The sequence below is a fragment of the Homo sapiens genome, chromosome 2 (assembly GCF_000001405.40).
Source record: "Homo sapiens chromosome 2, GRCh38.p14 Primary Assembly".
Taxonomy (NCBI): domain Eukaryota; kingdom Metazoa; phylum Chordata; class Mammalia; order Primates; family Hominidae; genus Homo; species Homo sapiens.
In genome coordinates this window covers 62,701,733-62,715,578 of record NC_000002.12, presented here as the reverse complement: position 1 = coordinate 62,715,578, position 13,846 = coordinate 62,701,733, and the positions used below count along the sequence as shown (strand labels likewise).

The 13,846-nt window shown below is 40.4% G+C and overlaps 1 protein-coding gene across 52 annotated transcripts in view, besides 3 other annotated features; it reads right to left on the bottom strand.

Annotated features, from left to right (window-relative positions):
• Positions 1-13,846, bottom strand: part of EHBP1 (EH domain binding protein 1) — a 372,610-nt gene that overhangs the window by 330,909 nt on the left and 27,855 nt on the right. For 15 of the 52 annotated variants that reach the window (NM_015252.5, XM_006711971.4, XM_011532717.3 and 12 more), the window contains exons 1-2: positions 9,527-9,866; positions 8,284-8,682 (exon numbers count right to left, since the gene is read on the bottom strand). The exons of 1 other annotated variant lie outside the window; for it this stretch is intronic. In NM_015252.5, the coding sequence (NP_056067.2) occupies positions 8,284-8,387 (104 nt within the window). In that variant the 5' untranslated portion in view covers positions 8,388-8,682; positions 9,527-9,866. 36 more of the 52 variants (NM_001354213.1, XM_017003650.2, NM_001354215.1 and 33 more) reach the window with 7 other exon arrangements.
• Positions 9,530-9,609: a silencer, noted in NCBI's record as "silent region_11541". NCBI's record gives its function as "represses an Ori minimal core promoter by ATAC-STARR-seq in GM12878 lymphoblastoid cells {active_cell/tissue: GM12878}" and the evidence as "EXISTENCE:reporter gene assay evidence [ECO:0000049][PMID:35858748]".
• Positions 9,730-9,989: a silencer, noted in NCBI's record as "silent region_11540". NCBI's record gives its function as "represses an Ori minimal core promoter by ATAC-STARR-seq in GM12878 lymphoblastoid cells {active_cell/tissue: GM12878}" and the evidence as "EXISTENCE:reporter gene assay evidence [ECO:0000049][PMID:35858748]".
• Positions 10,020-10,159: an enhancer, noted in NCBI's record as "active region_15870". NCBI's record gives its function as "activates an Ori minimal core promoter by ATAC-STARR-seq in GM12878 lymphoblastoid cells {active_cell/tissue: GM12878}" and the evidence as "EXISTENCE:reporter gene assay evidence [ECO:0000049][PMID:35858748]".

Below are 13,846 nucleotides of genomic sequence, written 5' to 3'. Positions count from 1 at the left end.
AGAATTTAATCACATGGCCACACCAAGTGCAAGGAAATCTGGAAAATATAATCTTTATTCTGGGTAGCCATATGACTCTTTAAAATTCAGAAATAATATATTTTTAAAATACCAAAAAAAAAAAAGAAAAGAAATACATCATAAAATGGCTTGGCACGGTGACTCGGCTGGGCACGGTGGCTCACATCTGTAATCCCAGCACTTTGGGAGGCCGAAGCAGGCGGATCACGAGGTCAGGAGATCGAGACCATCCTGGCTAACACGGTGAAACCCCATCCCTGTTAAAAATACAAAAAATTAGCTGGGCATGGTGGCATGCACCTATAGTCCCAGCTACTCGGGAGGCCGAGGCAGAAGAATTGCTTGAACCCGGGAGGTGGAGGCTGCAGTGAGCCAAGATTGTGCCACTGCACTCCAGCCTGGGTGACAGAGCAAGACTCTGTCTCAAAAGAAAAAAAGAAAAGAAATACATCATAAATATCATAAAACATCGCTACAGGACACATACGAACACACAGACATGCATACACAAATGCTGGCAAATTAATTCTACTTTGGAGAAATTAAGTTAGTTTTCTTAGCCCAACATTTGCTTGAAATTATTATAAAAAGGAAATAAAGTTATAAAACCATAGGAATTGATTTTGCTTCAGAAGCAAAAATATGTAGTTCCTCTCCCCAAAAGTCAAAGTATTGTCAAAACTTAGCTCATTTCAGCACTGTACTTCTGCAGGCACATTCCCTGGTTACTCCTACCTCCCTGGTCACTCCAACCTATGCTAGTTCATCTTTCTCTAACACTCTTAAAAGTTCAGGTTATATTTACAGTCTTCTTCCCACCTACTCTAACCTTTCTCTCTAGATAGTTCTCTTCATCACTCATTGCTTATTTATCAGATAAAAAATAATAACAACAATGGGTAAAATTTTCTGGGTGCTTACTCTGTCAGACACTGTTCTAACCCCTTTATTACAGGTATTATCTTACTTAATCTTCAAAACAACTCTATGCTGGAAGTAGTGTTATTATCATCTCCACTACTGAAGAAGTACCAAGAGATAATTCATCCAAGGTCACACAGCCAGAAAATATGTATTTTACACAGACACAGACCTCAATGTTTTCAGAAGCTGTTCTAAAGTTTCTTTCTATAAGGCTGGAAAACTGGCACAATGGTCTCTTCTCTGTTACTTATGTAGTTTGAGTGGAATAAGACTAAACTAATAGTTTAGAGCCTGAGCACAGAGAACACAGAAAGGTGCTAGACTCTGTATTCCCTAAACACTAGCTGCAAGTAACTCCCACGACTTAAAGCAGAAGTCAGCAAACTTTTTCTTTCTTTCTTTTTTTCTTTTTAAGAGATAGGGTCTCACCATGTTACCCAGGCTGGTCTTGAACTACTGAACTCCTGAGTTCATGGGATCCTGCCACCTCAGCCCCTCCCAAAGTGTGAATATTTACAGAAAAAAATTTGTTCTCTATTTTTTTAGAGAACAAAAGAGCCAGTTTGGATCAGGCCAGAGTTTGCCTGCCAACTCTTGATCTAGAGGCATATTTTGAGTCATGTGTAGACATAATCATGATGTAAGCACATCAATATCCAATTATGGCATTAAGTGGCTCCACTATATTCCTTAAAGAACCCACCACAATTGAATTTTGTAAAACTGTTCTTCACATAGAATAAAGACTTAAAATCTGGAAAAAACACAATATGTAACAATTACAATTTAAAAAAAATCAGTTTATAAGATACTATCATGAAATTACAAACAAGTAACATCAATTTAGCATTTGCTAAAATCATATGCCTTTGACAACTTACAATATAGAAAAGACTGCGCTATTTTGTTTCAAGGAATAAGATGTTCAAGATTCACATAACTTGCAACATAGAAAGTACTGCAAACTAACCTCTCTAGAAGCAAGCCTAGAAACTAGGGAACAATACCTTTCTTACCTTGCCTCTTCCTTTTGCAGTCATCTAACCTTCTGCCCCATCTCTCCCCTCATACATTAAAGATTTTAGCACCAGGCCAGGTGCCGTGGCTCAGACCTGTAATCCCAGTACTTTGGGAGGCTGAGGTGGGCAGATCATTTGAGGACAGGAGTTCGAGACCAGCCTGGCCAACATAGCAAAACCCTGTCTCTACTAAAAATACAAAAAAACTAGCCAGACATGGTGGTACATGCCGGTAATCCCAGCTACTTAGGAGGCTGAGGCATGAGAATCACTTGAACCCAGGAGGCAGAGGTTGCAATGAGCCACTGCACTCCACCCTGGGCAACAGAGTGTGACTCTGTCTCAAAAAAAAAAAAAAAAAGAGTTTAGCACCTGACTCCCTGTCTTAAATGTTTCTCCTCCCATTATTCTTGGCAACTTCAAGAGCCACACAAATAATCTGTCCACACATTGGCCTCTAAATTCCTTGACCACCCTCTTCATACCCAAAAAATCTTTTACTCCATTTCACCTCAGCCACCAACTCTCATGGTTATATACTAATAGCTATAGTCTCTAACAAGGAATAGGAATACCTGGAAGGTGCAAAAGATTATCTACTCAAACACAGCAAGAAATTCTACTTAAATTTATTTATTTTAAAGGTATTTATTTTATTAAAGGAAATTAAAGTATACTCATATTTCATGTATGCAGTATATTAAAAATATATTGGGATATGTGCTCATTTTTGTAAACAGATATGCACATGTGATCCAAGGACACCACCAGTATCTTGTCATTAACATTAACCACATCCTCAAAATCAAGCATCTCACACTCTTCCACCTCCCATCTTTCCAGCTCCCAACCCCAACAATTCTTCAACCTCTTTAAAATCTTTCAATCATTATCCTTTTCATGCTTTCACTGACTATCCCATCTTTCACGTACTTACCTTCTCCTTTTCCAGCTTATATTCCATGGTTCATCACTAAAACCACTCCTGCACATTTGCTCTCAATTTCCCTGTCTCTCTTCCCCTCAGTTATACATTCCTGACAAAATCCAATCCTGGTCAAATCCAACTCTATCTATTCCATGCCTGCACCAAAGCACTGAACACAGTTGGATTAAAATATGCAAACTTGCTGGTTGCATTCACTTAAAATTTATAATCACAAAGTTAAGAAGGTCATCACTACTACCCAGCAATCCCCCTACATTTCCCTAGTCAATTCATTCTCACTTTGACAACTTCATACCTCATCTCCTCAGTTCTTCAACAACTGTCACCTCCCTCCCAGCAGATGATTTCTTATATCATTTCCCTGAGAAAACAGAATGTCCACATCCTTCCCAACCAAATCTACCAACCTATCTGCTTCTCTACCCATGTACCCTGCTTCTCCCCTTGTAACAATGAATGGTCCCTGCTTCTACCTAAGTTCAACGTTTCCACTTGTGTTCTGGATCCTTTTCTCTTTCTCTCACTCAAAGACTTTTCTGTCCTAAGGTTACCTCCTCTCCCACCACATCATCCATTTTTCCTTCTCTACCAATCATTTCCACCAGCATTTACACATGTTGCAATATCTGCCAAGCAAAAAATGTACCTTGAACCCTTGTCTCTCTCCAAGTATTACCTAGTTCTCTGCTTTGTAGCAAAATACTCCAAAAAAATCATCATACTCACTGTAATCACTTCCTTTCCTCTAAGCCAACTTAATCAAGTCTTCATCTCCACCACTCCATTGAACCATTCCTCAAAATCATTAGTTCTTTCCATCTTGCCAAATCCAACGGTCACCTTGCTCAACCTCTCAACAGTATTTGACACAGCCAAATACTCCCTTAATACACTTTTTGCAGTTGGTTTCTTAGAAAACACGCTCTCCCAATTTTCCTATCTCACTACTGCTTGTTTCCTGTCTCCTTTGTTGGCTCCTCCTCTCCTTCCTCACCTCTATATGCTGAAGTGCCTCAAGGCTCAGTCTTCAATCCTCTTCTCAATCTGTATTAATGCATAGGAAATTTTCTATCGCCCCATGATTATAACTACTACTTACATACTAAGATGATCCAGCCTCTGAGTTTGAGACTTTTATAATTAACTGCTTAACTAAGATCTCCATCTGGATGTCCCAAACGAAAAGCAAACAGAATTCTTGATTTCTCCCTCACACCAAACCTTTTCCTCCCCAAGTGTTCCCCTATCCCTTCAATTAATATTACATTCACCTGGTTGCTCAGGCCAAAAACCTATAGTCATTATTGATTGTCTCTTACTTTACATCATATCTAATCCATCAGTAAGTCCTGCTAACTATATCTTTAAAAAAATTTATTATCCAGCTACATGGGTACATAAAATTGTCAAAACTCACTGAACTGTACACTTAAAATGGATGCATTTTACTATATGCAAGTGTAAATTATACCTCAATAAAGTGTGGTGGTGCTGAGTGTGTGTGAGGGTATGTGTGTGTTACATATGTCTGACCATTTCTCACCACCTACTACTCTGCTGTTTGAATTACTGCAACAGCCTATTAGCTGGTATCCCTGCTTCCACTTTTACTCATGACAGTCCATATCCCACAAAACACACCAAGTTTGTTTCTAATTAATGCTTTTTTCTGTTCTTTGTAAAATTTATTTCAAAAGTAGGTTATTTACATCAAGGCTCATGTATCTCTATATCACTCCATGGTCAACAGAGAAATGCTTGCTTAAGCCACCCAAAGAAGTGGATCTGAAATTAATACTTCTTAATGTAATTTGGTCTTCATAAATTCAACTTAACACTGAAAGTGCATGTAGTCTTCTTAATGTCTAATTGGAAGACTAAGCTGGGATCAGTTACACATAGCCTGGAACATCAGATTAAAGAGTTTATATTTTATCTAACAGGTCAATGTCACAAACTTAAACACTAAGAAAAACTACTTTTTTTTTACCTTTCAAATCCTGGGGTCACAAGGTTGGCAAAGATGTGTGAAATAATGAACAAAAAGAAGAGTTACTTTCAGGGATGTATCTTCACCTTTTTGTACCTCTAGAGTTTTGAACCATGTGATTGTACTGCCTATTTAATATATAAATTATAATTAAAATTATATTTTAAAATAAGGAAAAGGAATTCTTATATGACATAGAAAAATAAGAAACTAAAATAAATACATGACTTTTTGGGAAAAGTTTACAGCACTCTGAATATTTTTAGTCCTCCCACCACAACTAAGAATTAGATGGAAGAAATATAAATACAAATATAAAATATGTTCATATATATACATACAAAATATAATACGTATTCATACATAATGATTCATGTCATATATTAGAGAGCTTTTACCAGAATTTAATTTGCAACATAGTTAAATTATCATCATAACCCCAACTTGCCAACTTTCATACAGTTTACTTAAACACCTGTAAAGCCTTTGAGAACTCATATAGTAAAGATTTCTCTCAGAAATCTAAAAGCCTACAGATGATAAAAGAACAGAACAGAAAGTAAACTGAGAAATGACAGTACAGTCTCTTTCAAACTCATCTCCAGAGGCCAGTCTTACTACTTGCCAACAGCTACATCATTTAATAATTAAATGACATAAGGACAACAAGAAGAGTAGGGGGTATAAACCCCTATCATCTCCAAATTTGCTAAAGCCCCTTCATGTGGCAATCAAGGAATGATGATGAATAGGCCCTCCCTGGTATACTGTCCCTCTCTCAAATGAAAAAAAGACATTCTCGTTTTTGTTCCTGATCTAAGTTCTAGTGGTTCTAGAACTGGTATAAATAATTCTGGTATTAAGTTCTAGATGTAAGTTCTAGAACCACTAGACAATACAAGAAGTATTGGGGGTACTAAGTATTAAGTACCCCCAATACTTCTAGGAGAACATCCAAATCCTTCTGGTATTAAGTCCAGATCCTATCATAAGACCTGATTTAATAGGGACACCATAATGGCCATCCCTAAAAGTAATCAAGCCATTTATTCAACTGCAATCAAGCTAAATTTTCGCTGTAGCTTTTACCTTTAGACACATTAGCAATAACTTAAATTGTTATTTAAAAATTAATAACTTAAAAGCTCTAGGGAAATAAAATTCCAGGAAGGCTGCAAACTGTGAGGAAGAAACTGATTTTCTAACTGAGGAATCACCTGATAATGTTCTATTTCCCTTAAGAAAAAGATTAAAATTTAACCATCTTAACGTTGATGCTCCCAGTATACTGCCAAGTTAAGAAACACCTATAATCACGACCTTCTCCAGCTTGGTCAAATACATCCAAATTTCCAACACAAAAGCTTGGATGTCAATCTAGCCCTTTTCTTCTCCCTCATCCCCATCTTGCTCAGATCCCCAACTGAAATGACCACCAAATCCTACCCATTTTGTGTTCTGAGTGTTCCTCCAGTTAATTCTCTCCATTCCCTTTGCCACTGCCTAGTCCTAACCTTTTGTCTCCCCTTATTTATTAAAACAGCTACCCTAATATTGCTGCTTCCAGTCACCTTTTTACTATGATCCTCAGTCTACACTGTTGTCCTGGTGATTTTCCAATAGCAAACCTAATGTCTCTTCTGCTCATAATCTTTTACTATGTTCCTATCACCTACAGAATAATCCCCAAATCATTTATTAACAGCACATAACTTAACATGCTTTCAGTCCTGCCTGACTCTCAAACCTCATATCTCACTGCATGCCCCCCAATCCTACACTTTAAACCCCATTAATATCAAACTATACTACTTGAATTTCCAGCACATCCCATGCTAGGTAAGCCTCCCATGTTTCTGCATAGGTTGTTGCTTCAGTCTAGAATGTCTTTTACGTCTTCTCCCTTGGCTTCCTGGACAACAACTATGAATCTTTCAAAACCCAGCTCAGATCCCAGGAAGCCATCCCAACAACTCATCCTCTACCCTTAAAGAATTGTTTTTCCCTCTGCGACCTCTGTACATAATAATGGCATCTATTAGGCACTATGTCCCTGACACTGTTCCAAGCATTTTAAATGTATTAACTCATTTAATCTTCACAATTACCCTCCCCATGAAGTGGCACCATTATGACCTTTATGGATATGGAAACTTGAATCACGGAGAAGTTAAATAACCCGTCCTCAAAGATACTCAACTGTATCGAGACAGATTAAAATCCTTATGTCATACATATTTATATTATTGCATCTCTCACGGTGAATTTATTCATGTGACTCTCCTTATACTGGACTGCACACTCCTTGAGGACAGGGATTATGTTGTATTCTACTCTAAATCCACAGTACCTGGTATAAAGTAGGTAATGAGTGCATGCATTTCTCAAACTGATTTTAAAATAATATTCCTAATAAGTTGAAGAGAAAAGCATTCAGAAACTAGTTCCAAATAAATATTCAAATATAAGAGTTCTAGAATAAAGCAAGCTATTTTTTTAATCTAATAAAATGGATGTTAAAAAGAAAAATTATTACAGACCTGAATTACAGTCCTTCTGGACAAAGAAATGGACTTATTTTGCAATAAGTCCATTACTGCTTAATCACTGCAGTAAATCAAGACCCAAACGACCATTTGCTTAAAATTAACTTTTTTCTCTCACTAAATAAAAAATTTTTGTTGTTTATCATTCAGGGCAATGGAAAGAAAGCCCTATATTTACTCTTCTCAAGTGGAAAAAAGCCAATCACAGACCAGCACTACTAATTGCTTCCTTAAATCTGGCCAAGAAATGTATCCCATTAGGCAATTAAAATAAAATACAGTTGCCTGAGTAAGCATTTAACAAAAGAATTTCTAAGGTTTTGTGGATGGCATTCCATTAATCAAATAATGAAAAATTCTTTATCCTAAGCAAGGAAAAATGAAAAAACAAAAATAAAATAGATTACCATCACCCCACAAGAATATAGACTTCTATATTAAAACTCTATTAAATCATATGCCTGTTATATTAAAATATACGGATTAATGCTCACAATATTTCAGTAGCCATTCTTTGTCTCCTTAAAATTACAAAAATCAAAGTTATTTTAACACTAATGATGAATAACCTCAAAACCAAATCTATTGTATTTAGTGTGCTCTCACAGTTACAGTCCTCTGAGCCATACTGAAGCGCAGTAATTAAAATCCACAGGGATGGTACTAGCAGCAACAGTGCACAGCACAGTACTTGTTAGAGTTATCTGCGCCCCACCCAGCTTCTACACACTAGTGCACTATAGAAAGGTAAATATACTATCAGAAGACCCAGAGTTTAGGCCACAGTATGCTTAGGCCACAGCACAGCAAAATCTACCTCCAGGTACATCTTACCATTTCTTCGTACACTCAACCATGAGCTCCTGGTAGGAGGCCACAAACTGGAACTTGGATGCATGTTTTCCCACACGCTGCAGTCTCTTCCAAACTGAAGCCATGATGATCAGTCAAGACACTGGAGCAGTTCTGGGTTAGCAATACAGCAGCTTTAATAATGCAGAGGGTCCAAAGCAAAGGAACTTTGCATGTATGTCTTTTAAAAACTCAACTACAACTCGAAATGATGCTTGGGGTCCATAAGTCTTCTCCCTGTTTCACAGGGTAAATCCCATCTTAGATGAATGGCCCAGTCAAGAACACTATGATATACGTGACAGGATGAGTGGGAAGGGGTTCCCTCATGGAGACATCACCATGCCACCTCAGGGGCTATATGATGGGTATTCTGGAGGGCTGAAAAGCAAAACAAAGACAAAAAGAGAAAGAATATGAGGAGAGAATCATGAGAAATGACTAACCACCCATGTTAAATAACGCTGCAAAAGACCATCCCAGTTCTCTGCATGTCTTTTAAACAATGAAACAAAACACTGACCTCAAAAGCCAGTAACATCAAGGATGCAAGACACCAAGGAAGAAATTACAATTCACACCGAAGACGTGGAGCGACACATCAGGTAGTCAGCACCAACAACAATCCAGAGAGACGGTAACTCGGGGCCCTACCTCCCCCTGTTAGCATCACTGAAGGGCGAGCAGAGCGGGAAAGTCTAGGGATGCTGTTTAATGTCCACCGCCAGAAAGAGGGAGAAGTGGAGTATTTTTTAATAAACTTTGTTTTTCAGTCGATAATTAATAGCCTCAAGTCCGACAATATGTGCTTGGAACAAATTAGGGAGCCAGGAGGAATGCTATTTTTCAGTCGGAGGGAGGAAATGGATGGGGAACGAGGAGTGGAGGGAAATCTCCAGGCAGAGAGAGGGCAATGTCCCGGCTCCAGGCCACTTGGGCTCCTTCGCTGCCAACCGGAGGGAAATGGAAACTCCTGCCTGGGGGTGAAGCAATGACCAGCGGGGCAAGTGGACTGTGCAGGGTGCGGTGCCTCCCTCCCCCATCCTCAGGGAAACAGTCCGCCGGAGCCCAGTCTCCTCACGCACGGAGCCCAGACCCCTGCCCCCCAGCGGAGACAGGCGGTGGCTCGTCCGCGGTCCCTGTCACCCAGGCGATACCAGAAGACCCCAGCCCGGACCCCGAGCCCCGGCCCCGCCGCTCGTCCACTCCCGCCCCCTCCTCACACCTCTAATCCCGCTGTCGGGCTGAGTCTGGCCCCGTTCCCTTCTCATAGCCGCTCCTCCGTCGCCGCCGCAGCAGCAGCCGCCGCCGCCACCGAGTCCTCCATCCCCGCCGGAGCCACATGGAACAGCCAAGCCAGCCACGGCGCTCGCGGTAGCCGGGATCTGCAGCCCCTCAGGCGGACGGCGCCCCTCACGCCCACCCCCTCCCTGACAGATCGCCCCGCGACCGTCCCCCACCCTACCAAGCCCTGCCAGAGCCACCGCTCAGCGCCCAGCACCCCCTCCCCCGCCTTTCTCCTCCGCCACCATCATCATTACCTCCCCCGCCGCACCTCTCACACTAACCCTACCCACGGCAGCTCAACCTCCACCGCCCCGCCGCCATTGGCCAGGCCCCGCGCGTGCCCCGCCCACCTCGGCGGCCGGGTCTTACAGCGGCTGGGGCACCTCATTGGTAGAACTGCCTGCCCATCACAGGGGCTCCGCCTTGCCCTTGCTCGGGAGGTGGTTTTTCCCCGAAGCCGGAATGCGACGCACAGGCTACCTTTTTTTTAAAAAAAAAAAGAAGGAACCGACTAAGGACGATCCCGCCCGTTCTTCTGATTGGCTTGGAGAGGGAAGCGATAGGCGGGAGGAATAGGGAGTGTTTATAGTGAACTGCAAGGTGATTGCAGAAGGTGGCTGTCCGTCAAAGGCGCCGCTGGTGCGGGGCTGGGTTTCTGGCCCCTAAGGGTGATTGCAGACCTAGAGATTGGCTTCGCTGCAGCTGTGGGCAGTGCAGCTGCCTGTGGGTTTCTCTCCTGTTCTCATCTCCGCCAGGACCTGGGCGCGCCCTCTCCTCCGCCACTGGCAACTAGGGTTTTTGCGCATAGCCTTTATTTCACCAGTTCCTCCTGGGATCTTACCTGACAACCTGAAGTAATGACCCTGTCAGGCACCCCCCGACACCCCGGCCGCTCCCCGCCCAACATAGAGTCAACTGGTCTTCAGTGGGATTGAATCAGCTGAGCTAGACACAAAATGTGTACAGTACAATTTCTTATTGTTCGGAGTCTTCAACATTTCTTTGAATCTTGGTTTCCTCTTCGCTGTCGGACTCTTTTGCCCCTAGTGAGAACTGTAGATGGATTTGGGAACAGCTAGCATATAAAAAGGGTGGTCAAAGGCAAAAAGGAGGAGGCAGAGTGAGGGCAGGGACACTCAATCTTGTTAAAAGAGCCAAGGGCCCTTTTGAGAATATGAAAGCTACAGATACTTTCTCAAGGGGGAAAAAGTGTTCTGTCTCAAAACACAAAAAATTGTTTTCAGTTTTAGGTGGTTCACAGACCCCTGGTGTGGAGAAAGAGGACAAAGAATGAAACTTCAGGGGAATCCTAGCATCTAAGGAATAAACAGAGTAAAATGGGAAAGAGACCGAGAAGGAATAATCAGAGAAGTAGGCGCATCAGCAAGCTATGGGCAGACAGTTTGGAAAAAAAAGAGAGGCAAGCTAACATAAAAAGAAAGCAAGCGGGATGGGTTCTGGAAACAAGGATCATTCAATCTTACGAAGGTTGGAAAGCAGGGTGCATGGACAAAGTAGCTTGAAAGGTGTTAGGGTCTAGGGAGGATTCTTTCAGGGACAGGAAGAGAGAGCAGTGATGGGTGAGAATTGAGTCCATCTGTAGACATTGGGGGCCAAGACAAAGTGGAGAGACATGTTGAAGAATCAAGAGAGATGGGGAGACAGATATAAGGCTTGAATCCAGTATCTAATTCAATTTCCACTTTCAATAAAGAAAATGATCTAATAATACAAGAGCACAGTGTGCATTTTACAGAAAACAGCATAGTTATCGCTTATTTTGCTAGTCAATTCTAAAATGTTAAGATAATCGTAATAATCATATTGATTCTTATTTTCTATTAAGAGTTCTCTGATGTCCTTCCTGAGTGGTTTACGAAGTCACTACAACCTACAGCCATTATGATCTCATATAATAATATATTCTGCATCTTTAGTAGGCTTTAAGTGTGTGGAGTTTTTTAATGGCTTATTTGTAGAAATGGTCATAAATTATTTTCATCCAAGTTACCCTTCAGAAACAATCCACATGATGATCAGAAGGTTTTTGCACCCTATTTATTACTGTTCTCTGGAAGTTCTCAAACTTTCTTATGTGGTCATTCTGGTTTCTTTTAACATGCTTCCCTTACTCCAAAGGGAGAGGGGGAAGAGAGAAAAAATAGAGAGACTGACTTTATTGTAAAGAAATTCCCTTAAAAGTAATAAGTTTTAAATGGTGTCTTAAAAAAAAATAAAGGAGTAGGATCCCTAGGGAATCTTCCTCAAGTTGTGGAAAATTTCAAGAGACTGATAGTTTCTTATGACAGCTCTTCTTTTTAGGGGAAATATTTGTCTTGGATGTAAACTCTTATTTTTCCTTCTAGACACCAAGGTAGCTAAGAAGAGATCAAAGTTAGAATCGTTTACTAAATGAGTGAAGGAATTAAGAACAGCTCTTGACCCTGTTCTGCCACTGACCTCATGTTCATAGGCTGTCTCCTGGAGGCCCTACAGAGCAGCTACTTCTTCCCCCTATAACATTTTAAAAAACAACCTGTATACTAACTAAATTTATTGAAGAATATTAAATATAGAATATGTTCAGCTCTTTTGGCCTGCTTTGCTGATAGTTATTGAATACCGAGTATTAATCTTTTTTTTTTCTTGAGACGGGGTTTCTCTCTGTCACTCAGGCTGGAGTGCAGCCTCACCCTCCCAGGCTCAAGCAGTCCTCCCACCTCAACCTCCCGAGTAGCTGGGACTACAGTCGCATGCTACCACGACTGGCTAATTTTTTTTTTTTTAAGGAGCAAGTCTATTAACTGATAGGCTAATTTTTCATACTTTTTGTAGAGACAGGGTTTCACCACGTTGCCCAGGCTGAACTCCTGAGGTCAAGTGATCTGCCTGCCTCAGCCTTCCAAAGTGCTGGGATTGCAGGCATGAGCCACTGCTTCCAGCCTGATCATATTAAATATTACCAATAGTACATAAAAGTTACAGTCCCTGTTCTTAAAGACTTTCAGGAACATGTTCGGTGTGTACACAAGAAAGTAACACGAGTTACTTAACCTCTCTGAGTCCCAGCTTCTTAAAGCATGATCCTGTAAAACATAATCATGCCTACCTTTCTGGGATGTTGAGAAAATGGAAGATATGTACATAAAGTATCTGGCACATAGTAAACAGTCAAATGGTAACTAGTAGCATATGCTATTGTGTTTGGTAGCAAACATAAACAAGACAGAAAAGAACAAAACAGACCTTCAAGAATACTTGGGCAATACTTAGTGCCAAACATCGCTACCTCAAGGACTAAAGAGTCTTAAAGAGTACATTCAATATTATTTATCTCCCATTAATTCAATTGGTACCAAGACTGGAACAGCAATAATTTAGGTGGACTCAGGATTTTATAATAATTACTAAGAATGCACTTATCCTCAATCCTCATGACAACTCCTTATGTCATATATTAGCTGAGAACTTTTGGCATGCTAGAAGTTACCCTTTTCTTAAGGTCCCATTTCCCCTACCAACCAACAGGTACCTCCTACTCACCCTCCCACTTCCAGGATTGCCCACTGTGTCTGCCCCCTTCTAATTCCCTATTTACTCGGATCTTGATTTATCGTCTCCCTCTGTCCCAGGTTTAATGCAAGTTACATTAATTATCCTGTCCATTTGACCCAGGTTGTTGACTGCAAAATGTTTTACTTAACAGAAGATGCAACATTTAAAATAATTTAAAATTTGCCTTTAAATATCATCAAGCTTAAAATGAAGATAGAATACAAAGAAATAAGTGGAAAATGGCATCCAAAAACTTTAAATCTTCTCTGCCATGACAATTTTGAAAATGACAGAAATTATTTTCAGTGAAACAGCTTTTTTAGTCACTGCCTCAGAAACTCCCCAAATGGAGATTCAAGACTATGAAATGCAACCATAGGCTTGAATTACTATTATCTTTCCTGGTGATAAAATTCTTATCTTTGGGTTTTACAGTTATTGCAGTAAAAATTGTCAGAGGTATTATTGCAGGATTTATCCACTAATGGAATTTATCTGTGCCGTATTCCTAGTAATAAGATTTGCTCCCAATAATAACACTGTAGGTTTTTGTATTTTTTTTTTCCAGTTACCATAGTGGTTATACTATACACAACAATATTACTGCAATTTTTAACTGCTAATGAAATTGTTTTAAACCCACAGCAGACAAATTTACTTCCAACAATCCTATAGCAATTTTTATGTCCTTAAAATCTCACTG